The following is a 25,982-nucleotide window of genomic DNA, read 5'->3' on the forward strand; positions in this document are numbered from 1 at the left end:
GACAAAGCATATTTTGAAAAGGAGCATGGCTTATAAAATGGTTTTCACACTGTGAGTATGTGAGTATTTCTTTAATTCCAGAATAATAACAACAATCAGGTCTCAAAAATCTCTGTAAGTGGCTGCCTGCCAACTTTCAGCACATAGCCCCTTAAAGTCCCTTGATAGTTAGGGCTTGCTGCCTGCCATATAATGCTGAAGCTCTTGGCAAGACTCTCCCAATTTATGGGGCTTTGGGAGACACAGCCTTGAGCTCTGTTGCAGCAATAGTTGAGCATCTGCCATGCCAGAAAGCCCAGAGTTTCCGCTGGCAACAGCGTGTCCCTGCCCAGGCAAGCATTGCAGAGTGCAGGAGAGCCAGAAGACTCCCGTAAGGCTGGAGGCACAGTTTCCATTTGCCAGGCTGCCAACATCAAGCAGTTGATGTTTAGCCGTGACTGCAAATATATCATATGAAAATCTTTGACAATCTGCATTTGAAACACCTTTGTACCATCAAGTAAAATGTATGTATTAATTTTACATAAATATTAGCCAGAAATATTAACCTTACTAAGGATTAAGGTTGAAGATTAAGCAGTCCTACTCTAGACAATATCGGGACATTGATGTTACATTATTACTATTATATTAGTTACCATTACTGAATATGCGCCAGATCTCAGACACCATGTTAAATGATTTACATACATTACATTTTGTATGACAATACAAATCCAATTTAAAAGTTGTGAAATTCACACAAAGTCACTTTAAGACACTTGCTCAGTGTCAAGGCTTGTAGATGGGAGAGCTGGAACTTGAATGCAGGTTTTTCTGATACCAAAGGCTCCATGCTATTCTGTTTTTCTAGTGCCTTTGCAATTTTTTAAACTTTCATTTTAGGTTTGGGGGTACATGTGAAGGTTTGTTACCTAGGTAAATTTGCAATTTTCCTTCTCACTCTCAGGACTCATTAGAGTGGAAAGGAGTTAGACTTACAAGACTTTCTACACTTTTCTGAAATTCTGGGTCTGCGATTTTTAAGGAACCTGGACTAGAAACAAAGTGAGCTCTGAACAAATCTTTAGTAATTTTTTAAACACAAAATTTGAGGCTTGTATTACTCAAGATTATTTTCTTTAACACTTTCACTGAAGTTCTGCTTAAGTTTGGATAAGCTTCCCAATGCCTCCACGTCACAGTATGTGTTAAGATTAGACATTAGAAAAATCAGTTACTTAGAGAGATTTAGAAGGAAAAAGATGCAATTTAATATATCTGACCAGTGGCTTTAACAATTGACATAAAAAAGCATTTGGAATCAACATTATCTATGCATAATACTATTTACCCATGAAAAATATTTACCCACTCAAATATGTGCTATATTAACCATAGGTATAGCCCATGAATGTGGGTCATGGTATAGCCATGAATGTATATGGTTATATAATTTTTATTAATAGGCATGTCAATTGTCACATATGTTAAGACAGATACATAGCTGAGAAGCCCTGTTGTTACACAGACACATGTGCAGACTCATACCATTACCTAGAAATATTTCTTATTTTCTAATCCAGAATACAAAGAAAATATATTTTTAAGAAATTTCATTTTATTGTGGAATAACTTATTTATAAGGACACTATAGCTCATCATTTGATCACTTGTTTGGTTGTCTATTTTGTAGAATAATCTTTATTCATTTATTAAATTGTATGTAAAAAATGTAATAAAGAAAATACACAGGATACAAACTTAAATAAAAAGTACTATCACCTGTAAACACCCCAAAATAAATATACACCTTTTCAGACACAAATGACATTCACAGTATGTCGCTTATGGAGAAGAAAAAACAAAGCTGTAAGTAATATTTGCCTCTTTCAACCCCTGAAATAAATCAGAATTCTATATTCTACTATCCTCAATAATAAATTGTTAATGAAATAAAGACAGGAAATTACAAAATGAGGGCAAAAATGCTTTATGTGGAGGACGATTTGTCTAATCTCTTCATTTTTTGTTGACAAATTGAGAGATCATAAGATATACCACTGAAAAGAAAGAAAGAAAAAGAATAAGACATCAAACAGTGTAAGCCAGAAAATCTTCCTCTTCTTTACTCCTCCGTGCCATATCCAATCATTTCTAAGTCATGTGGTTTTTACCACATTTCCATATCTGCTTAAAATTCTCCCTCCCCTCTAGTTAACATGTCCTTGCCTGAAGCATCACTTCTCTGGGGGGAGCTGTGTCTACTGCCCCACTGTGCATCAGGCTGCCTCTTAGACATTCTCAGAGAGCTCTGATAATTTCCTTCAGAGCCCTTATCTGAGTCTGTTATTGGATGTTTACTGATATGATTATTTGATTATTTCTCTCATTTTTCTGAGAGAATAGGGACCATGTCTATTTACTTCTCTCCATTTTGTTCATATCTTCAACACGTCGTCTGGCACATAGTTGTCAATCTTCTTTGACTGATTGAATGAACAAAATTAATACATAATTTAAAATTTAAATTACTGTTAAAAGTTAAAGAAAATAATTTTTGGAATATGAGATAGTTCATATCCTTATAGATTTGAATATAATTGTTCTCTCCAAAATATTATCACTCTAATTCTTTTTTATTGTATACATTTACAGTATACAACATGATGTTTTTATGTATTGATACATGGTTAAATGACGATTACAGGTAAGCAACTTAACATAATCATCATCTCACATAGGTACTTTTTGTGTGCATGTGGTAACAACGCCTAAACTTGCTCTGTTAGAAAATATCCTGGACACAATACAATACGATTAACGATGGTTCTCGTGCTATATTTTAGATATCTAGATTTTTTTCCTCCTACATAAAACTGAGACTTTGTACACTTTAATCTACATCTCCCTATTCCACCTCCCTTTCCCACCTCTAGCAACTAGCATTTTATTCTCTGTTTCTATGTATTCTACTTTTGTTTTTCTTAAAAAAAATTCCACATATAAAAGTGAGCACAAAGTATTCTTTTTCTTTGGCTGGCTATTACACTTAACATAACACTTATCCTTTAAGATTCAGAATAAATATTATCAATATTACTACTTCATGAAACATTTTTCCAGGAACCAGTAAAAGACACATAGAGAAGACTTGAACCTAACATGTAGCTTGAGGCTAAGCCACCCAGAAAACACAACAGTTAGGAAAGTAACCACTTGCGGTCACAAAGTCAGTGAAATATTGGGGCTCTTTATTAAACAACATTGTTTGGGAAATTACTAATAGAGCTATTTCCTCTTTAATCCAACTACATCACCAAGGGGTCAAAGGAATCACATTTGGTTTTGTAGTAGTACTAGTACACGTGATTAACTGCCCATATTTCATGGAATCATAGAAATATTTTGCTGTATATAATGGGGTGTGTTCTAGTATTATTTTTAAATGACTAAAACAAATAGAAAAACTGGAAACTTTTTGAAAAGTGGATAAATGGCTTCGTTTTGTCACCACAATACATCTTCAAAACTAATTTTCCAACCCATCTTCCAAGTGTGAGAGTCAAAAAGAAATAACTGTATTTGCAAGATTTCAGAGTTTATTGTAAATAAGTGATTTAATGAGAGACATATTCAAAATTACTAATTACTATATTTGAAATCATTTCATGTCACACATTTCCCATGGTTCTTTAGAATTTAGGTTTTATATGATATAGATTTTGCATGACAGATAGACTTTTCCTTTAATTCAGCTGTTTCTCTACGTAAAAGGTAAATAGAACCTAAGACAAAAAGGTCCTGTATAAAAATAGTTTCAATGAAATATAACTAGGACAAAGATTCTGATTTCTGTTGATAGCAAAAATGTTTTTGCAAAGTAACATCTGGATTTTTTGTAGGTGTTGAGTTGCCATGATATTATGGAAAAGCAAAGGGCCACATTGGTGTGGGTGAAATGCCAGTGCAGGGAGAATGGAAGTGAGCACATATCATACACTCTGACTTAATTGGGATGGGGAGTTTTCTTCCACTTTTCCTTGGCTCATTAACTAGGAGTCTGCTCCCATCAGCACTTGAAAGAATATAAGCTTGTGCTAAGGATCTTTCACCCCAGACACTTATGACTTGTCTACACTGGCATAACTTTTTATTCTTCCATTTATTTCTCATAGGACTCTCATATCAGCAGTTTGATTACTGGCCACTGTATTGTGCCTTATATCAGTCATATTAATATTTATTATCAACAGTGGGCAGACCTGAAAAGAGATTAGCACTCTTTTAATCATAATGTGTTTGAGGGTATGATAGTCTGATTTTCCCATTATTATCATCAATCTGAGATAGAGGAAAGATTGAAGTAACACTAGCATGTCCTTGCATAATCAAAGCTCAGTTGCTAGAAAAAGGTTTTTAAGTTCAAATTGTGTCCCCTTAGCAGTTGAGGAATGAAAAAATCAAAATATCAAAAGAGGAAGACTGGAGTAATTGTGGCTGACATTTCTCATGCTCATCTTTCATTTCTTGAATGAAGTGGGTGTATATGGGAGATGAGTGATGGTGGTGGTGAGTGGGGGGAAGTGGGAGGGAGAAACAGAGAAACTGAAAAATGTGAGTCTTTCTGTATTTTCCCATAAAAAGGGCTGTGTTCACTAGAGTAAAATACTTTATTTATCTATCTAACTATCTTCCAAAGTGAATTTGCTGGTCAAATTTACTATGGCTTTTTTAATATAAAAATTTTGGTTTTCCTATGACTAGAGTTGTCCCTTGATACCAACATTAAGAAATAGGATATATTGTAATAGAATATAGCATATTGGAAACTAATAATATTTTAAATACCTGAAAAAAGTACTCTTAGGCAGCAAGGAAATTTTTTTAAAAATAGTGAAATTATGATATGAGATTCACTTTTGTAATGCAAGATTATCTAAAGTAGAAAAATATTTTTAAGAGCAAAAAAATCAATGCATGATTTGCCTAAATCAAAAATATTTATATACTGAACTTATGTTTGCCAATCTATAAGTTGAGTATTTGAGTTTTAAATTGAATCACATACATTGTGCAGTAACAATGGTGCCCTGCCTTGATGTTGTATTATTATCCAGGAATAAATTATTGTGTCCCTCTTTCCACTCTGTTTCTCCTGTGCTTTTCCAATTTGTTCTGGAAGAGCACAATCATATCAGGTTTTAGTGTGCTGCTGCATAGATTTAAGAGAGTATATATCACCTATATCACCAGGCCTCCCCCTTGTATTTCCAGAATGTATGATATAAATTATTGGGAAGTATATACTGAAAACATGACTTTAGTAAATCTGGTTTAATACCTAATACTCTGAATGGAGCCAAAACAGAGACAGATAACAGACAATGTGAAAATGAAAATTTACTTAAAATGAAAGGTACATATATAGAGAACCTCTTTGAATGAGTTTTTAAGACAGTTTTTTCTTTTCTCTCACCAAATCTATTCTCAAGTCAGTTTTCATAATAGAAATTGCATTTACCAAAACATGAACATTTCACATGTACATATAATTTTCTCAAAAATTTAATTTGTTTCCATTATTTGTTATATTCATTTCATAGTATATTTAAATCTATAAATACATTATTTATGAAGCCTAGATATGATTTTTATATTCTATGAATATGTGAAACATGTACATTTGTTTTTTAACTTGTCATTCTGCTTTAAAAAGAAACAAAAACTCATGCACAGAAAATTCCTTTACATTTTGTTAAGTTTTTGCTTCCATTTTGTTACTAACTTTACATAATACATTGTCACTGTTTTCGAGGACTGTTGGCAATGACAAGTGCTATGTCATGGGCAGATCACTTTTAAATGTATCTTGACATAATTTCTTCAACTGCATCCATATATCTTTTCATTTCACTTAAAAATGTTCTCCCCATGCTAACTATGTGCTAGAATATGCCAGATGTCATATATACAGTCATAAACAAGACAGTTTTGGTTTTCTACCCTTGCAAAGTTAGTTTCTAATTTGTATGGAAAACATGAAAAAATTATACATAAAATAGTAAAGGTTATGATAGAAAAAGTATACATTGTTATGAGAAAACATAATAATGGTAACTCATCTAGTCTTCAAGTAATTTGAAGTTTTAAACTGACACCTGAAATACATGCTAGTATAAATATATAACTTAAGAGATGTTTATTCACTTAGCATGTCCTAGCACTCAGTATAATATATAACTGATGTATAGTAGGCAGCCAAAAAGCCATAGAGAATAAATAATAGATGAGTGAAAGGGCTTGGCAACCAAAGAGATTTCATAGTGAGATGGGTGCAAGGTGTTAAATTATGCCCCTGGCTGACAGAGAGAATGGACTCCCCGTAGTTACCTAAGATGATTAAAGTTAAGGCAAACCAGGCAGCCATAGCTGGGTGAGGGAGGAGTCACATACTGTATGTTATCAGAAAGATGTTGTAAAAGTGTTACAAGACCTTCCTTTCTACAATCAAGCCAAACCAGTTCCTGTTGTGGGTGCTGAGATAAACTGTGGCCAACACCCGCCTACCCCACTGGTTATTTGAAAGAAACATCTGACAGAGACCTCTGGTTTGGGGCTTGTAAACCATCCAAACAGGGCTTGCCTATTTTGACCAATCAGAACCAAACAAGTTTGAATCTTTGATTTGCATAAACGGACTTGATTGAGAACCTGAGTAAGAACTTTCCCCTTTTAAGCCAGATCTTCACTTTTTTTTCTACAGAGAATGTACTTTCACCTTACTGAATTCTGTGCCTCCCCAATCAGCAGACTTTTTTCTTAGAAAATCGTTATATTTTTGCCCCCACTGAACTCATTAATCTTTGATTAACAAAGTTTGCAGAGAGAACAGAAAACATAAAGGCTTGAATGTGAGAGGATATAGAGAAAATAATCATGACTAGGTGAAGAATGAAGAGATGAAGTTGGAGTTTTAGATAGAGGCCAGGTTCTCAAATATTTTTGAGTCCCTGAAACCAACTGAAATTTAAAAAAAAAGATTTACATAATTAAATCATCAAATTGAATTTCAGAAAAATCACTCAGGCAACTCTGTAGAGAATAGCTTGTAGGGGCCAAATCTGGTAGAAGAGAGAATTTAAGACTGTAAAGGTCATCCAGCTGGGATAAATGAGCTCATCTAGCTGAGAGAAGATGATATCTCAGACTGTTAATACAGTTGGATTTTTGAGAAATGTGAACATGTCCCTAAAGAACTTAGGGACATGAAAAACTTAGTTATGAGTTTAATGTGTTGAATGTGGAAGAGGTTCGTGTCAAGGAAGATTCTCATGTGCTAAGGGAACTAAAATAACAGTAGTATTTTAAAGAAAAATAGACCTGTGCAAAAAGAATCTGAGATGTCTGTGTGGTATTCACATTAAAGTGTCTAGATGACAAATGGAAATTAGGGTACAAAGAGGTTATCAGTTTTCTCCACTAGAAAATATCATATATTTCCAAGATGTGAAGGGTAGAGTTTATCTAGGGATTTGAAAGTCCAGTTTGCAGGAAGGTAATTAACTATTTTAGCTGAGAAGTCGTTTCTGAGATTTTGATCTCACAGAGACTGTGGAGTTTAACCTGTTGGTACAGTAGTGGCTGAAGAGTCAAATAATGAAATCTAAAACACAAAGCTAAGGAAATGGAAGCTGGTGGAAGTGGGGGAAAAAAATGAACATAATGTGCTCCTGGTCAAAAACAGCATTTAGAAATAATTGACCCAATGGAGGCGGAGATTGCAGTGAGCCGAGACCACGCCACTGCACTCCACCCTGGGCGACGGAGAGAGACTCCGTCTCAAAAAAAAAAAAAAAAAAAAAAAAAAGAAAAACAAAAAAGAAATAATAGACCCAATAATATAGAGGAAGCATTGCTGTTGTTCTAGGTTAAATAAGAATTAGTGTATGGGTTTAAAATTTTTTACTTGAAAAATGGTGAGTAAATGCATAATTCTATAGAAGTATCTCTAGAGAACTCAGCTGGTGCAGTGCTTATCACTTAATTTCTTGGATGTAACCAGAATGCAAAATAAATCTTGTTGCCTTGTTTATCTTTTATGTCCAAATAGCAAAATAGGGAAGTGGATTCCTAAACATATTAAGCCAAAACTGTTAAAAACCACCAAAGGAGGTGAGAAATGAAAGATGCCTAGTATCTTTTCGTGGACTATTTGGACACCTAGGCCGATCATTTTGAGACCAAGTAGAGGGCTGCTTGAATGCAGAAATTGTTCTTTCAAGGCAGATAAAAAGTCATGCGTGTTCTCTTATCCATGATCCATAGTCGTCATAAATATTTCCTTTTTTGTTATAATTCTGGGCCAAAAAGAAAATTAAAAATTGTTTGACTTTCATAGCTTGATCAACCACAGACTTATTTTTATTTAGACAATAATAAATTCTAGTAGATTACCTGTTCAAGAGAAAAATCAATTTTGTGATTCATAAGTTTAAGAAAGTTACCATTGATATAATAAGGAATTAAAAATATATATCCTGCAATGAACTTAAATAAGGGATATTTCACCCTCTGACCAATCTTGCTTTTCATAAATGGGCATGATCAGTTTCAATTAATACTGTTGTCATCTCTATATGGTCATTGTTCTCTGCAAGAAACTACTTGCTAAGAAAGATAATTTTTATCTCCTTTAGAAAAGCAGGAGTTATAGGATAAATGCTTATGTTAAGAAGTTTCAGGCAACTGAGTATTTCATAGACATTTACTTGATTTTCTTCTAAAGTAGCAAAAGTTTAGGAATGTAAATGCCTATTTTGCTATGAAGATAATTTATTATTTTGATGAGAAATATATTCTAAAGGTTCATTACTATAAAATTGTATTACAGATTCCAAAATTAAAGTAGATACATTAAAGACCAACCTAGCATTGTCAAAAGCAGAATGAGTTGTACAAATTCACAGTTTATTGGAGAAGGAGGGAATAGTTTTATTACAATGTCCGTGGGGATCTGAGCTTACTGTGCTCAGATTATTCCTCATTATCACTTTCAGCATACCACAGGAGCTTTCCAAATCTTATATGGAATAGACTACAAAGAATAAAGTTAGAGATAGGCCCACATATACTACTTCGAGATACACTTAGTCAAGCAGCAGTCTATACTTTTTGGACATTTGTATGGATTCTTTTGAGAAATGACTATTCAGATCTTTTGCCCAATTTTTAGTAGATTATTTGAGTTTTTTGCTGGTGAGTTGTTTCGGTTTCTTGCATACTCTGTGTTTTACTGTAATGCCTCAAGCTTTGCTCTTTTTGTTTAGAATTGCTTTAGCTATTCAAGGTCTTTTGTGGTTCCATATAAATTTTAAGATTTTTTGTATTTCCATGAAAAATGTAATTGATATTTTGATAGGGATTGCACTAAATCTGTATATTGCTTTGGGTAGTGTTGCTATTTTAACAATATTAATTCTTCGAATTCATGAGCATGGAATATATTCCCATTTTTGTATCATCTTTAGTGTCTTTCATCAGTGTTCTATAGATTTTTTGGATAGATTTTTCATTTCTTTGGTTAAATTGATTCTTTGGTATTTTATATTCCTTGTAGTTATTGTAAGTGGGATTACTTTTTAATTTTTTTCATAATGCTTGGTATTGGCATATGTAAATGCTACTGATTTTTGTATGTTGATTGTGTATCCTGCAGCTTTACTGAATTTATTGATCAGTTCTAATAGTTTTCTGGTGGAATCTCTAGGATTTTCTAAGTATAAGATCATGTAACTGCAAACAAGTTTAATTTGACTTATTTTCCAACTTACATGCCTTTTATTTCTTTCTGCTGCCTAATTGCTCAGTAGGGACTTCCTGTATTATGTTAAATATGAGTGGAGAAAGTGAGTATCGTTGTTTTGTTCCAGATCTTAAAGGAAAGGCCTTCAAATTTTCCCCTGTTCAGTTTGATGTTAGTTGTGGGTTTGTCATATATGGCCTTTATTATTTTGAGGTATGTTCCTTCCATATCCAGTTTGATGAGGTTTTTTTAATCATAAAAGGATGTTGAATTTTATGAATGCATTTTAAGTATCTATTGAAATAATTATTTGTTTGTTTTGGTTCTGTAAATGCAATGTATTATGTTTATTGATTTGTGTATGTTGAACCATTCATGCAACCCTAGGATTAATCCCACTTGATCATGGTGAATGGTCTTTTTAATATTTTGTTGAATTTGGGCTGCTAGTATTTTCTTGAAGATATTTGCATCTATATTCATTAGGGATACTGGCCTGTAGTTTTTGTATCTTTGTTTGGTTTTTGGTTTCAAGGTATTGCTGGTCTCAGAATGAGTTGGGAAATATTCCCTCCTCTTCAATTTTATAAAATTTTGAGTATAATTGGTATTAGTTCTACTTTAAATGTTTGGTAGAATGCAGCAGTGAAGTCATTGGGTCCGGGGCTTTTTAAAATTATGGTTTGATCTTACTACTCATTTGGTTTGTTGAGATTTTCTACTTAGTGGTTCAATTTTGGTAGTTGTATGTGTACAGAAATTTACTCATTTTTTCCCTAAGTTTGCATAGAGTTGTTTGTAATATTCTTTCATGATTATTTGTATTTCTGTGGTCTCAGTTGTTATGCCTCCTTTTTGTTACTGATTTTATTTATTTAGGTCTTGTCTCTTTTTTCCTAGTCTAGCTAAATATTTGTTGATTTTGTTCATCTTTTCAATAAGACAACTTTTCATTTAATTGATCTGATGTGTTATTCTTTTGGCCTCAATTTTATTTATTTCTGCTCTGGCCTTTATTATTGATTCCTTCCAATTTTGGGTTTGGTTTGTTCTTACTTTTCTGGTTCTTTGAGGGGTATGACTAGGTTGTTATTTAAATCTTCCTGCTTATTTGATATAGGCATTTATTGCTATAAACCTCCCTCTCAGTATTGCTTTGCTATATCTCATAGATTTGGGTATTCTGTAGTTTTATTTGTATTTATTTCAAGAAATTCTTATATTTTGTTCTTAATTTCTTCATTGACCCATTTACCATCCATGAACATGTTGTTTAATTTCCATGTGTTTGTGTAGTTTCTGAGGTTCCTCTATTATTCACTTCTATTTTTTTTCCATTGTGGTTAGAAGATATTTTTGATATGATTTCTACATTTTTGAATTTGTATAGACTTGTTTTGGTGCCTCAGCTATTATCTGTTCTGGGGAATGTTTCATGTGCTGATGATAAAAAATGTTTATTCAGCAGCAGCTGAGTGAAATGTTCTTTAAATGCCAATTATGCCTATTAGATCTAGTGTGTAGTTTGTGTCTGAAGTTGATTTTTTGTCTGAATAATCTGTGTGTTACTTAGAGTGGGGGTGTTAAAGTCCCCTACTATTACTGTATTGCAGTCTGCCTTTGCCTTTAGGTCTATTAATGTTGCTGTTTATATGTAGAGTTCTAGTGTTGGGTGTGTAGATATTTATAATCATTATTGACTCCAGCTGAATTGACCTCTTTATGATGATATTGTGACTTCTTTGTCTCTTTTTTACAGTATTTGATATGTAGTCAATTTTATCTAATATAAGTATAAACTACTCCTGCTATTTTGTGGTGTATGTTTGCATAGACTGTATTTTTCTGCTCCCTCACTTTTAGTCTATGTGTGTCTTTACAGGTGAAATGGGGTTCTTGTAGGCAGTACATGGTTGGGTCTTGTTTCTTTATCCATTCGGCCACCCTAGGTTTTTAATTGAGTAATCACATCTATTTACATTCAGTTATTACTGATAACAAACTTACTATTGCCATTTTGTTGTTTGCTTTCTGGTTGTTTTGTAACTCTTCCCTTTCTTGTTCTTTCTTACTGTCCGTCTATGTGTTTTAATTCATTCATTGCTATGTTTTAATTCATTCATTGCTTTTTATTTTTAATGAATCTACTGTAGGTTTTTGTGTTACGGTTACCATGTGGCTTACAAAAATATTTTCTAAATATAGCAAGTTATTTTAAAGAGATGACAATTTATCATAGCTAAAGAATAGAGACAAATAGAAAAATGGAAATTAAATTCTATATATTAACTCCACCCCCGACACATATATTTTGACATTTACCTGTCTCAATTTATGAATTTTATATTACCTATCTCTTAATAAGCAGCTCTATATATTATTGTTTCTGATAGACTTGTTTGTTGGACTTCATACTAGAGGTATAAGAGATTTTCACACTCTATTAGAGAGTTCTTGTTTTATCCATGTACTTTGTTTTACCAATGGATATTATACCTTCAATTTTTTTTTGGACATTAGTGTTTTGTTTTTTTCCCTCTCAGACTGAAGAGCTCAATTTAGTATTTCTTGTAAGATAGGTCTGGTGGTGGTGAATTCTCTCACCTTTTCTTTGTCTTGGAAAAACATTATCTCTCCTTCATATTTGAAGGATAACTTTGCTAGATACATTGTTTTGGGTGACAAATTTATTTCTTTCAGTAGTTTGAAAATGTCATTCCACTGGCTTCTGGACTGTATGATTTCATTGAGAAGTCTGTTGCCCGATGATTTGGAGCCCCTTTACATGTTATTTTCTTATTTGCTTTTGCCTCTTTTAGGAGTATCTTTTTGTCCTTGAGGTTTGAGAGTTTGATAATTTTATGCCTTTAGATAGTCTTATTTGGGTCCAAACTGTTTGGTGTTCTCTGACCTTCCTTTGCTGGATATGTATATCTTTCTCATGTTTTGGAAAGTTTTCTGTTATTATTTCCTTGAAAAGATTTCTACCCCTTTCTTTCTCTAAACTACATCTTGCACACCAATCATTCTTTAATTTGGTCTTTTGAGGTAATTTTCTTTATCTTGTAGGCAATCTATTATAGATTTTTGTGTTGTGGTTTACCATGTTGCTTACAAAAAACATAGGCTCATTTTATTATTTTGCATGTGGATGTCCAATTTTCCCAACACCATGTATTGAAGAGACAATCTAGGGGCATATTTCTATTAAATATTGTACTAAAGCTATAGCTCACTCTGGGTAGTATAGACATTTTAACAATAGTAATTCTTCTAATCCATGAACATAAGATACCTTTCAAATCCATGAACCCAGAGTTTGTGTGTGTGTGTATGTGTGTATATACATATGTATACACGTATATATATATATATATATATATATATATATATACTCACACATATTTAAATATATTTAATCAGTGTTTTGTAGTTCTCAGTGTACAGAATTTTCACCATCTTGGTTAAATTTATTCGTAAGTATTTTATTTTTTGATGTTATTTTAAATTGGATTATTTTCTTCATATCTTTTAAATAGTTCCTGGTTTGTATATAGAAACCCAGCTAACTTTTATATTTTATTTTGTATTCTGCAGCTTTATTGGATTTATTTATTAGCTGATCTGATGACTATACATAGTATGCATCAAAATATCACTGTATACCCTATGGATATGTACAATTATTATTTGTCAGTTAAAAATGATCCTAAAATTATCATTGGAGTACTTATGGTTTTCTAGGTATAAAAACATGTCATCTGAAAACACAGACAATTTTACTTCTTCTTTATTGATTGGAATGCCTTTATTACCTTTTCTTACCTGTTTGATCTGGCTACAATACCAAGTACTATGTTGAGTGGAAGAGGTAAGAATTGGCATCCTTTTTTCTTCCTGTTCTTAGAGGAAAATATATCAACTTTTTACAGTTGAGTATAATGTTAGCTGTGGGCTTGTCAATATATGGCTGTTATTATGTTGAGTTAAATTTCTTATTTACCTAATTTGTTAAGAGTTTTTATCACAAACTGATGTCAAATTTTGTAAAATACTTTTTCTTTGCATCTATTGAGATAATTATGATTTTTATCCTTTGCTCTTAATGTGATATATTACATTTATTTATTTGTATAATCCTTAAATCACAGGAATAAATTATACTTGATTGTGGTGTATGGTTCTTTTAATATGCTGTTGAAATTGTTTTACCAGTATTTTGTTAAGGATTTTTGCATCTATATTCAAAGGAATATCAGCATATAATTTTTTTTCCTTGTAGTGTCCCTGTGTTGGTATCAGGATAATGTTAGCCTTGTAAAATGAGTTTAGAAGTGTTTCTTCATTCAATTTTTTGGAAGATTTTGAAAACGATTTTTCTTCTTTGAATGTTGGTAGAGTTCACCAGTGAAGACATATGATCCTGGGATTTTCTGTGTCAGAAGGTTTTATTTTTTATTACTGATTAAATCTCCTTACTAATTTTTGGTCTGCTCAGAATTCCTATTTCTTCATTTTTCAGTCTTGGTAATTTGTATGTTTCTAGGAACTTATCCATTTCTTCTAGGTTATGCAGCTTGTTGGCATATAATTGTTTATAGTAGTCCTTTAGGATCCTTTATATTTCTAGGTTATGATTCGTAGCGTCTCATCTTTCATTTATAATTTTATTTATTTTTGTCTTCTCTTATTTTAAGGTAACTTAATCAATTTTGTTGACTTTAAAAAAGAACTCTTAGTTTCACTTAATTTTTTCTATTGATTCTCTAATTTTTTATTTCTGCTCTAATCATTTCTCTCTTCTGCTAACTTTGGCTTAGTGTATTCTATTTCTATTTATTTGAGGTATAACATTAGTTTAATTATTTAATATTTTTGTTTATGCAAGCGTTTATTACTATAAGATTCTCTCTTTAAACTGCTTTTGTTGCATTCTACAAGATTTGGTATGTTTTGTTTCCATTTTCATTTGTCTCAAGATTTTTTTTATTTCCCTGTTGACTTCTAGTTTCACCCAGTGGTTGCTCAGAAATGTGTTGTTTAAAATAAACGTATTTGTGAATTTTTAAATCATTCCTTGTTACTGATTTCTAGTTTCACATAATTGTGGCAGAAAGACACTTGATATAATTTCACTCTTTCTAAATTTATTAAGACTTTTAACAGTTTATATTAAGGCAATATGAACTTTACTTCAATTGCATACAAATGCTCTTCACTTTTACTTCTCTCCTCCTTCCCCATATTTTGTTACTGATATCCATTTTGCTTCTCATTATATTTAACATTATCAAATTATTTTAACTATAGTTACTTGAATACTTTTGTCTTTTAACTTTTACACTACAGCTAAAGGTGATATATGCACCCTTATTACGGTATTAGAGTATTCTAGATTTGACTATATACTTACCTTAACCAGTAAGTCTTATACTTTCATATTGCTAACTAGCACCCTTTTATTTCAACTTGAAGAACTCCCTTTAGTGTTTCTTATAAAGCATATTAGTGATGATGAACACCCTCAGCTTTTGTTTGCTTGGCAAGTCTTTATCTCTCCTTGATTCCTGATGGACATCTTTGCCAGGAAATATGTTCTTTGTTTGCAGGTTTAAAAAATAATTTAAGTTTGTGATTTGTCTATATTTTCACACGTTCTCCTGGCCTGCAATATTTCCACTAAAAAATCTGCTTATATTCTTATGGGTGTTTCTTTGCAGGTGATTTACCTATTTCTCTTGCTGTTTTCAAAATGTTGTCTTTGTCCATTGACTTTTGACAATTAAATTGTAAGGTGTCTCAGTGAAGACTCTTTATGTTCAATCTATTTGAAGTTTTGGGAGCTTCATGGAACTTGATACCCATTTCTTTTTCCAGATTTTGGTAATTTTTATTTTGTTCTTTCTTTAAATAAGCCTCTACCCCTTTTATTTTATCTGTTTACTCTAGAAATCTTATAATGCATATATTGGTTACTTGATAGTGTCTCATATGTCTCATAGTCTTACTTCATTGCCTTTTATTATTGTTTCTTTTTGTTCCTCTGACTAGATAATTTTGAATGATCTGTCTTTAAATTTGCTGATTCTTTCTTCTGCTTAATTAAGAGTTTTTAGCTCATTTATTGAATTCTTCAGCTCCGAATTTCTATATGGTTCTTTTTTATAATTTATATCTCTTTGTTGAATCTCTCCTTTTGTTCATATATCGTTATCTCGATTTCTTTTGGTTGTCCTTTTGTGTCCTCACAGCACAATGAGCTTCTTAAGACCATTATTTTCATTCATTTTTCAGGTAATTTGCAGATCTCTATTTCTATGAGGTGAGCCACTGGGGCTTTATTTTGGTCTGTTTTAAATGTTCAAAAAATGTTAATGTTCCTTGAAGACTTACATTACTGTTTTGGCAATCCAAGAATTAGTCACACCTTCCAGTTTTTACTGATTGACTTTGAGAAAGAAACACTATTCTCTGTTAGTCCAGCTAGAGATTTGGAGAACCTCTCAGGTGTTTTATGTGGATGCACCCACTGTACTATTCTTGTTCCCTTTTTGGATGAAAGTTCTAAGATTATGTGCCTTCTCTTGATCCCACTAGTCTAGACCGGGTGTCTCAAGCTTCCTGTTTATTTTTCTTAGGGACGTGCCCTGAGCACTCTAGGTTGTGCACCTTTTCCCAATCCAGGAGAGTCTAACTGGCTGCTGATATCTGTGTGCTATCTTCAGAGGCTAGCCTGTACTACCTGTGTGGGAGTGCACACCATCTGCAGGAGACGGTGGGGCACTAGCCATGGGTGGAGGGAACTGCTGAGGGCATATGTCAGCTGGTTAAGTAGATTCACAGTTGAGATGGGCCATGGAGTTTATGGGAATAACTCTTGATGGGTCTGAAAGTTGGTCAGTTGGATGTGAGGACATTTGTTTAGATCTGTGCACCAGCTGCCATTAAGTCCCCTACCCTATTCTCTTCTCCTGACTTCTCCCAGGAGACTCAGTTATTCTGAATCCCTCAGTGTTTTGGGTGGGGTGAGACAGAAGTGGGCTTCCTAGGCATTGTCCATCAAGGCTGGGGAAACCAAGTCCTCACTTCACCTAAATTTTCCCCATGAGAGAAATTATGGGTCAAGGGGCTCTCTCTTGCCAGTGAGCTGTACTGCTTTGGGAAAAAAATGACATGGATAAAGTGAAACTGTTCTTATTCTCTCCCATATATCTATTATGTTTTTGTTTTGCTTTTTTCTCCACCGAGGTGTTGCTGCCTCTCAATTGGACTCCCGAGCTCCCATAAAGGTATTCTTGTCCATGAGTGGTTGTTAAAGTTGATGTTTATTGGAGGTTCGAAGGCTGAAATCTTCTATTTCATCATCTTCCTGATATCTGTCAGACACATTATTTAACAATATTACATACTGGCAATTTTCTCCTTCTGCTTTTCACTAAAGGAAATCATGATGTCAAAACTGTATGGCTGATGGTAGGGATTTCCAGCTTATGGACTGGCATGTAAGAAGCTTGGAAGGCACCACTTTATTCTAATAAGTAAAAAGCTGAAAAAACTGAAAACTCAACACCATTTTTCAGAGTTGTCAAAATAGTGAGGTCACAAGGTAAATTGCCCCCAAAACTGGAGAGAATGACAGGTGAATACAAGCAATTAGAATTTGTTGGAAAAAAATCCCTGCAGGAACCAGTGCCAAGGTAGATAAACTGTAATTATAAATGTAATTGAGGAATTACTCAAGACTTAGTGTTGACAAGTCTGAGAAGTTAAAACTCCAGGGGGCCTAGTAATCAGGGAGCCCCCATACTTTGTGAGTGTTACCTCCTGGAACTCTATCAGATTTTAATACTAAATATTGAAGAAAAATCCTCTTGTGCTTCTGGCAGGGGTAGGTGACATGTAACTATTTTGAAATACCAGAGTAGATTTTTTTCTTTTTGTCTCAGAGCCTGACTGACCGAGGAGAAAGAAAATACCCAATTCTATCTACTTGAAGATTTCAACATGGGACAAAGGAAATACCCAGCTTTGACACACTCAAGATATTCTGTCCCACTTGAAGTGGAAAAAGACTAAGAAGTTCATAGTCCAGAGCCACAGGCTCACTAAAATACTGACATCTAATTATCGGAGGATATAATGCTTCTTTCCTCTTTACTCCCCAATCTTTAACACCACATTACTGAAGGCCTATTATTTACAACAGCTCTTTTTACCCAATAGATCATGCCTAGTTATCAAGAAAATGTTTCAAGACATACTAAAAGTCAAAAAGCAATGTTTGAAGATAAAAAGCAAAGATCTGAACCAGATTCAGTTATGGCAGGGGTGTTAGAATTGTCTAACCAGGAATTTGAAACAACTATGATTAATGTGTGAAGGGTTCTAATGGAGAAAATAGACAGCATGCAAGAACAGATAGGCAGTGTAAACGGGAAAATTAAAACTCTAAGAAAGAAAAAAATGCTGAAGATTAAAATAAAAAAAAATCAACATTAGCAGACATGAGGAATGCCCTTAATGGGCTTATTTGAAGACTAGACAGTTAGAAAAAAACTTCCAAGCTTGGGGATATCTCTACAGAAACCTCCAGAACTAAAGACCAAATATAAGATTGAATGAAAAAAAGAACAGAACGCTTAAGGACTATGGGGCAAATACAAAAGTTGTAACATGTGTAATGAGAATAGCAGAAGAAAAAACAAGAAATAAAAGTTAAATTAGCAATATTTGAAAAATAATGACTGAGAATTTCTCCAAAGTAATGTCAGACATCAACCCACAGATCCAGGAAGCTCACAGAATACCAAGCAGGATAAATGCCAAAAATCTACATGCAGGCATATCATTTTCAAGCGATAGAGAATAAAAGATAAAGAAGAAGCCAGAAAGAAGCCAGAGGAACAAACCATGTTATCTGCAGAGAAAGAAATACAAGAATTACATCCAACAAAGAAGAGAGTGGAGTTAAATATTGTGTTAAAAGAAACAAATTGCCAACCTGCAGTTCTCTACCCTATAGAATTATCCTTCAAAAGTGAAGAAAAATAAGACATTCTCTAACAAAAATTGGCAGAAATTTGTAGCCAGTAGACCTGCCTTATAACAAATGTTAAAAGTAAAAGAGTTCTCTAGAGAGGAGAAAAAAATATAGGTTAGAAACTCAGATCCACGTAAAGAAAGAAAGGGCATCACTGGAAGAATAATAAATGCAAAATAAAACTTGTATTTTTCTTAATTAATTTAACAAATAATAGTTTATTCAAAATAATAACAGCAACAATGTATTCAATTATGTATTTTTATATATGTGTATGCTTATGTATAAGTTAATTCAATGGAAGAAATAAAGCAAGGCACAAGGGGGAGAAATTAGGATTATTTTATTGTTATAAACAAGTCAACTGCCTTTGAAGGGGTATAGTGTTATTTGAAAGTAGACTTGGGTTAGTTGTAAAAGTATCACAAGCTGGAACCACCACTAAAAGAGGTAAGAAAAATGTGTTCAGAAACAAGAGAAAATTGAATCATATAAAATGCTAAAATAAAATGAAAACAGGCAGAAAAAAATTGGAGGATAAAAATAGTAATAAGAAACAGGGCAACAAATAGATTAAAATAACAAATGTTTTTTATATATATATACATGCATATATATAAATATATATACAGCTATATATCTATATAAATATATATATAAATATATATAGATATATATATAAATATATATAGATATATATATGCAATTATTTTAATAATCACTTTAAAAAAAAGACAAGGTCTCCCTATGTTGCCCAGACTAGAGTGCAGTGATGATTCACAGGCATGATTCCACTACTGATCAGCACGAGAATTTTGACCTGCTCTGTTTCTGACTTGGGCCAATTCATCTCTCCTTAGGCAACCTGGTGGCAGCCTGTTCCCAGGTCACCATATTGATGTGGAACATAGTACAGATATTCCATCAGCATAGCTCACCACAGCCCAGAACTCCTGGGCTCAAGCTATCCTCCCACCTCAGCCTCCTGAGTAGCTGGGACTACAGGCATGTACCACTATGCCCAGCTCAATAATCACTTTGAACATCAGTGGTCTCAATATGCAATTAAAAGACAGAGATTGTCAGAGTTAATAAAAAAAATACCTAACCATATAGTATGTACAGGAAACCTACTTTAAATATATAGAGTCATATAGATTAAAAGTAAATGCCAGGGGAAAGACAGACCATGCTAATACTAATCAAAGGAAAGTGAGAGTAGTTATATTAATTTCAGGTAGAATAGATTTCAAAGCAAGGAAAGTTATCAGAAATAAAGAGAGGCATTAAATAATGATAAAGGGATTGATTCTTCAACAAGATACAACAATCTCTACCATGTATGCACCTAAAAACATTGTGTCAAAATACATGAGGCAAAAACTAATAGAACCTCAAGGATTAATTCACTATTGTAGTTGAAGACTTCGACATCCTTCTTTCAGAAATGAATAGATCCTGCACACATATAATTAGTAAGAACAGTTAACCTCAATAAAATCATCAATCAACTAGATATAATTAACATCTATCAACTATTTCACAGAATATACAGTTTTCTCAAGCTCACGTAGAATATTCACCAAGAGAGAATACATTCAGAGTCATAAAACTCATCTTAACACGTTTTGAATTATATAAATTATATAATACCTGCTATCAGATTACAATAAAAATTAAACTAGAAACCAGTAACAGAAAGAGTTGGAAAATGCCAAAATATGTATAGATTAAACAAGACACTTCTAAATGACACATGGGTTAAGAAAAAACCTCAAGAAGAATTTTAAAGTATTTTGTATTAAATACAAATAAAAACACAAATGATCAAATTTTGTGTGATGTAATGAAAGGAGTGCTTAGAAGGAAATTTATAGTGTTGCCATATATATTAGAGAAAAAACCCCCTGAAAATAATAATCTAAACATCCACATTAGGAAACCAGAAAAATAATAACATATTACATCTATAATGATTAGGGAAAAAAACAGAAATTAGAGCAGAAATTAGTGAAATTGGAAACAATAAAGCAACAGAGAAAAGTTAATGAAATCAAAAGATAACTATGAAAGGAACAATAAAATCGATAAGCCTCTTGTCAGGAAAAAAGAGGACACGGTTTACTAATATAACAAATCAAAGAGGAGATATCACTATGCATCTCATGGACATTCAAAGGATAATAAAGGAATAGTCTAAACGATTCTATGTCCACAAATTTGGTAACCTAGATAAAATGGACCAATTCTTTGAAAAACATAATCTGCCCAAATGCACACACCAAAAGTAGACAATCTGAATAGGTGTATCACTATTGATGAAATTGAATCAATAATTAATAATCTCAAACAGAAAATACCAGGTTTAGATGGATTCATGGGTATATTCTACCAAACATTAAAGGAATTAAATTATATCATTTTTTTAACAGTCTCTTCCAGGATACAGAAGCAAAGGGAATACTTCCTAACTTACTCTATAAGATGAGCATTACTGTAATGCCAAAACTAGACACAACATTACAGGAGAAGAAAACCAGAGACCAACATCTCCCATGAACTTAGAAGCAAAAATCTTAACAAAATGGAAATAAATGGAATCAAACACTATATAAAAATAATTATACATCATGACCAAGTGAGCTTTATTCCAGGTATGCAAAGCAGTTTCAACATTTGAAAATCAATGAATGAAATCCATCACATCAATAGGTAAAAAAAAAAAAAAGATACGGTCATATCAATAAATATAGAAAAAGTATTTGATGAAATCCAACAGCATTTCATGTTAAAAACTGTCGGTACCCTAGGAATGAGGAGAAAACCTTCTCAAATTGATGAAAATATCCTCAAAAAACCTTACAGCTAATATTGTAATTAATGGTGAGAAACTCAAAATTTTCCCACTAAGATCATGTACAAGGCATGGATGTCCCCTCTCATCACTGCTTTTCAATGTTGTACTGGAACTAGCTAAGGAATAAGAAAAGGAAATAAAAGAAATACACAGGCAAAAGACCCAGAATAGCCAACACAGTGTTGAAGGAGAACAAAGTTGGAGGATTGACACTACTTAACTTAAATCAAGACTTACTATGAAGCTACAGTAATAAAGACATTGTGATTTTAGTGAAGGAATAGACAAGGAGATCAATGGAACAGAATAGAGGGCCCAGAAAGAGGCCCACACAAATATAGTCAACTGATCTGATCTTTGAAAAAGGAATAAAGGAAATAAAATGGTGGAAGGAGTCTTTTCAACAAATGATGTTGAAACTGGAAACACACACACACACACACACACACACACACACACACAAAATATAGCCATAGATTTTATACATTTCAGAAAACTCAACTCAATATGGATTAGAGACCTAAATGTAAAATGCAAACTATAAAACTTTTAAGTGGTAATATAGGAGAAAAATCTACATGATGTTGGGTTTACCAATGACATTTTAGATGTAACATCAAAGGCTCTCAATGCAAGAAAGAATTGATACATTGGATTTCATTATAATGAAAAATTTTTGCTCATAAAATACACTGTCAAGAGAATAGAAAACCAAACCAGAGACTGGGAGATGGGATTTGCAAAAGACACATTTCACAAAGGACTGTTATCCAAAATATTTAGAAGAAACTCTTAAAATTCAACTGTTTTAAGATAAGCTAAGCTAAGAAAACAATCGTATTTAAAGATGACCAAAGACATTAACAAGCACCTCACCAAAGAACATATTTAGATGCTTAATAAGCATATAAAAAGATGACCCGCATCATATGTTATCAGAGAAATACAAGTTAAAGCAACAATGGGACACCTCTACCTCCCTATTAAAATGGCCAGAATCCAGAATACTGATGGTATGATTTGGCTGTGTCCCCACCCAGATCTCATCTTGAATTGTAGCTCCCATAATTCCTGTGTCATGGGAGGGACCTGGTGGGAGGTAATTGAATCATGGAGGAGGATCTTTCCTGTGCTATTCTCATGATAATGAATAAGTCTCATGAAATCTGATGATTTTATAAATGGGAGTTCCCCTGCACATGCCCTATTGCTTGCCACCATGTAAGACATGACTTTGCTTCTCATTCACCTTCAGCCATGATTGTGAGGCCTCTCCAGCCATGTGAAACTGTGAATCAATTAAAACTCTTTCCTTTATAAATTACCCAGGCTTGGGTATGTCTTTATTAGCAGCCTGAGAACAGACTAACACAGCTGACAACATCAAATGCTGGTGCAAATGTGGAGCAACAAGAAATCTCATTCATTGCTGGTGGGAATGTGAAATAGTACAACCACTTTGGAGGAGACTTCCAGAATTTAGTTTAAAATTCAATGTATTCTTACTATATAATCCAGCAGTTGCATTCCTCGGTATTTACCCAAATGAACTGAAAAATTATGTTCACACTAAAACCTAAACACAGATGTTATTAGCCACTTTAGTTATAACTGCCAAAATTTGGAAGAAACCAAGATGTTTTTAGTAGGTGAATGGATAAATCAACTATAATACATCTCAACAGTGGAATGTTATTTAGCTCTAAAAGAAAATGAGCTGTCATCCAATGAAAAGACATGGAAGAAACTTAAATATTTATCACTAAGTGGAAGATGTTAATCTGAAAAGACTACATGCCCTATGATTCCAACAATTTAACATTCTGGAAAAAGCAAAACTATGGAGACAATAAAAAATTAGTGGTTTCTAGGTGTTAGGGGAGAGAGAGGAATTTACAGCTGAGGCACAGAGAATTTTTAAGATAGTGAAATGATTCTGTATGATACTATAATGTTGGATACATGTCATTATATATTTATCCAGACCTATAAAATGTACATGACCAAGACTGAACCCTGATGTAAACTATGGATTTTTGGTAATGATAGGTAAATGTAGGTTCAATAATAATAACATATATACTACTTTGATGGGGGATATTGATAATTGTTGAGGCTATGCATGTGTCAGGGCTACAAGGCATATGAGAACTCTCCCTTCCATCCAACTTTGTTGTGAACTTAAAGTCTGCTAAAAAAGCAAGCAGATAAATTGCCATTCAACATGACAGCCTCTAACAACATCTGACTTTTAGATTTAAACTAAAAAGTAAACTATAAAGTTCTTTTAGACAATCTTGTCATGGAAAGTGTTAAACTGAAAACACTCTTTTATTAAGCTATGTATGCACTCTTAAATCACTAGGTTTTTCTTTTATAGTTATTTTCCAATAAAGAAGCAACACGTATATTAAGAGAAACTACATTGATGGTTGGAAATTCAGAATAAATTTTCACAAAGACAAAAAGAAGGATTTCAGATGTAGATTATATTCTCCATCTAATCCACAATATCTATTTAATAGTCATTGAACTGTATTAACAAGTAAAAATAGGACTCTGTTTCTCCAGACCTTGAAGGTTTTTTGGCAGAAGTTTGTATATAGAAGGGGAAGATTGTGTGTCCTCCTTGCTAATTTTACAAATTTCTAAATTGAAAACTATTTATACAATGAAGTAGTAAATAATTCAGTAAATAATTATTTAGTTTGATTTGATTATTGAATGCATTAGCTAACCTTGAGTGTAGGAATTTCCCCCAAATGCAAATATTAGAGTAGACTGTATTTCCAAAGCTGAAAAACAATATCCACTATCTCTGCTTTAGCAATGTGACTTGCTTTCTCCTTGTCAAAAAATGCTACTTATTATCACTATCCTTGAATTTGGTCTGTCTAGGATGACCAAAGTTCCTGATTTGCCCAGGAATGTACTTTTTTGGTAGTGAAAATCCTGTATCCAAGAAAACACCTTAGCCCCAGGCAAACAGGGATCATTAGTGAACCTGTCCATCTTCCCTCCCACCCACCCCCCTTCCCCAGCTGTGAGTAACAGCATGTGGTGAAAGTAAGCTTTATAATTTGTGAGGCTGGGCTTCAGGTTACTTTTGCCTTTACTGTTTAGAATACTCTTTCTTAGATCTAGTTTCTATGCTGTGAAGAAACCCAAGAAGCCACATTTGGAGGCCCAATATTAGTCTAGGCATTCTCTGGAATCTCAACAACAGAAGAAGGAGGAAAAGCAGGAAGGCCCCAGGCTAACAGCCTCAGCTGATCTCTAGTCCACAGCTAGACTAACTGACAGCCTTTTAATTGAGGGCTTTTGGAAATTCCAACCATTACCATGCCCCAGATGACACCACATTAAGTTAAAGAACACCCTGGTTCATCCACACAATCATGAGAGATAATTAATGGTTGTTATCTTAATCTTGTGAGATGGTTAATTATGCGGCAATAAATAATTGTAACAATGAGTCACAAAAGGTCAGCAAGTACTCAGAAGTAAATATCTAAATATTAAATACTGTGCATGGTGGAAAAAATGTTGGACTTGCAATCACTTTGTAGATTTAAAGCTTCAGATCCTTATTTTCTAGCTGAGATCTTTTGAAAAAATTACTCTCATTTCTTCCTCAATAAACTGGAGATTACGATACTTTACAAAATTTTAGGAATTGCCAAGCAAGATGATGCATATGAAAAAACTTTAAACCACACACAGTACCACATGAATACAAGACTAAGTTGCTACATCAGTCATAAAGGAACATCATGTTACCCTGTTTTTGAACTGTAAATATAAGAAAATGTCTGTTTAGAATATGAATCTTATTAAAGAGGGGCAGTTTAGAGAAAGGTGAGTTGCAATTTATTTCCTAATAAAATCTTTTGACTTCCATTCCTATAGAGAAGCAAAACACCGCATTCAGTTTTTAGCTTATCCAAGTACACTAAGCTACTTTGTACAATATGAAGAAATATCCTTTCATGTTCACTAAGACCTCATAAAATTATGTTAGACCTCATGTGACTCTTCCACATTACACCTTACTATGGATTTTTCATTTTTCTATTTTAAAGTTTTAAAGTTTACTTTGCTTTCACCATTAAATTTTTATTAGTTTCCTATTTTTGTTCATTTTCTCTGTGATATGGGTAACATAAAGAGGATAATTCAGATTAAGTATCACACGGCTTCTAGAGTTTATGATGATACAGAAAGAAAGCGATTCCCTTGGCTGAAGGGCCTTTGAGTGAAAGAGGGAGTGTTGTGTTTTAAAAAGATATGAATATGAGATA

At 33.1% G+C, this 25,982-nt stretch overlaps 1 pseudogene; it reads right to left on the reverse strand.

Moving 5' to 3' along the window:
• On the reverse strand, window positions 19,555-19,850 carry RN7SL255P (RNA, 7SL, cytoplasmic 255, pseudogene; annotated as a pseudogene).

Source organism: Homo sapiens, chromosome 5 (genome assembly GCF_000001405.40).
Source record: "Homo sapiens chromosome 5, GRCh38.p14 Primary Assembly".
NCBI lineage: Eukaryota > Metazoa > Chordata > Mammalia > Primates > Hominidae > Homo > Homo sapiens.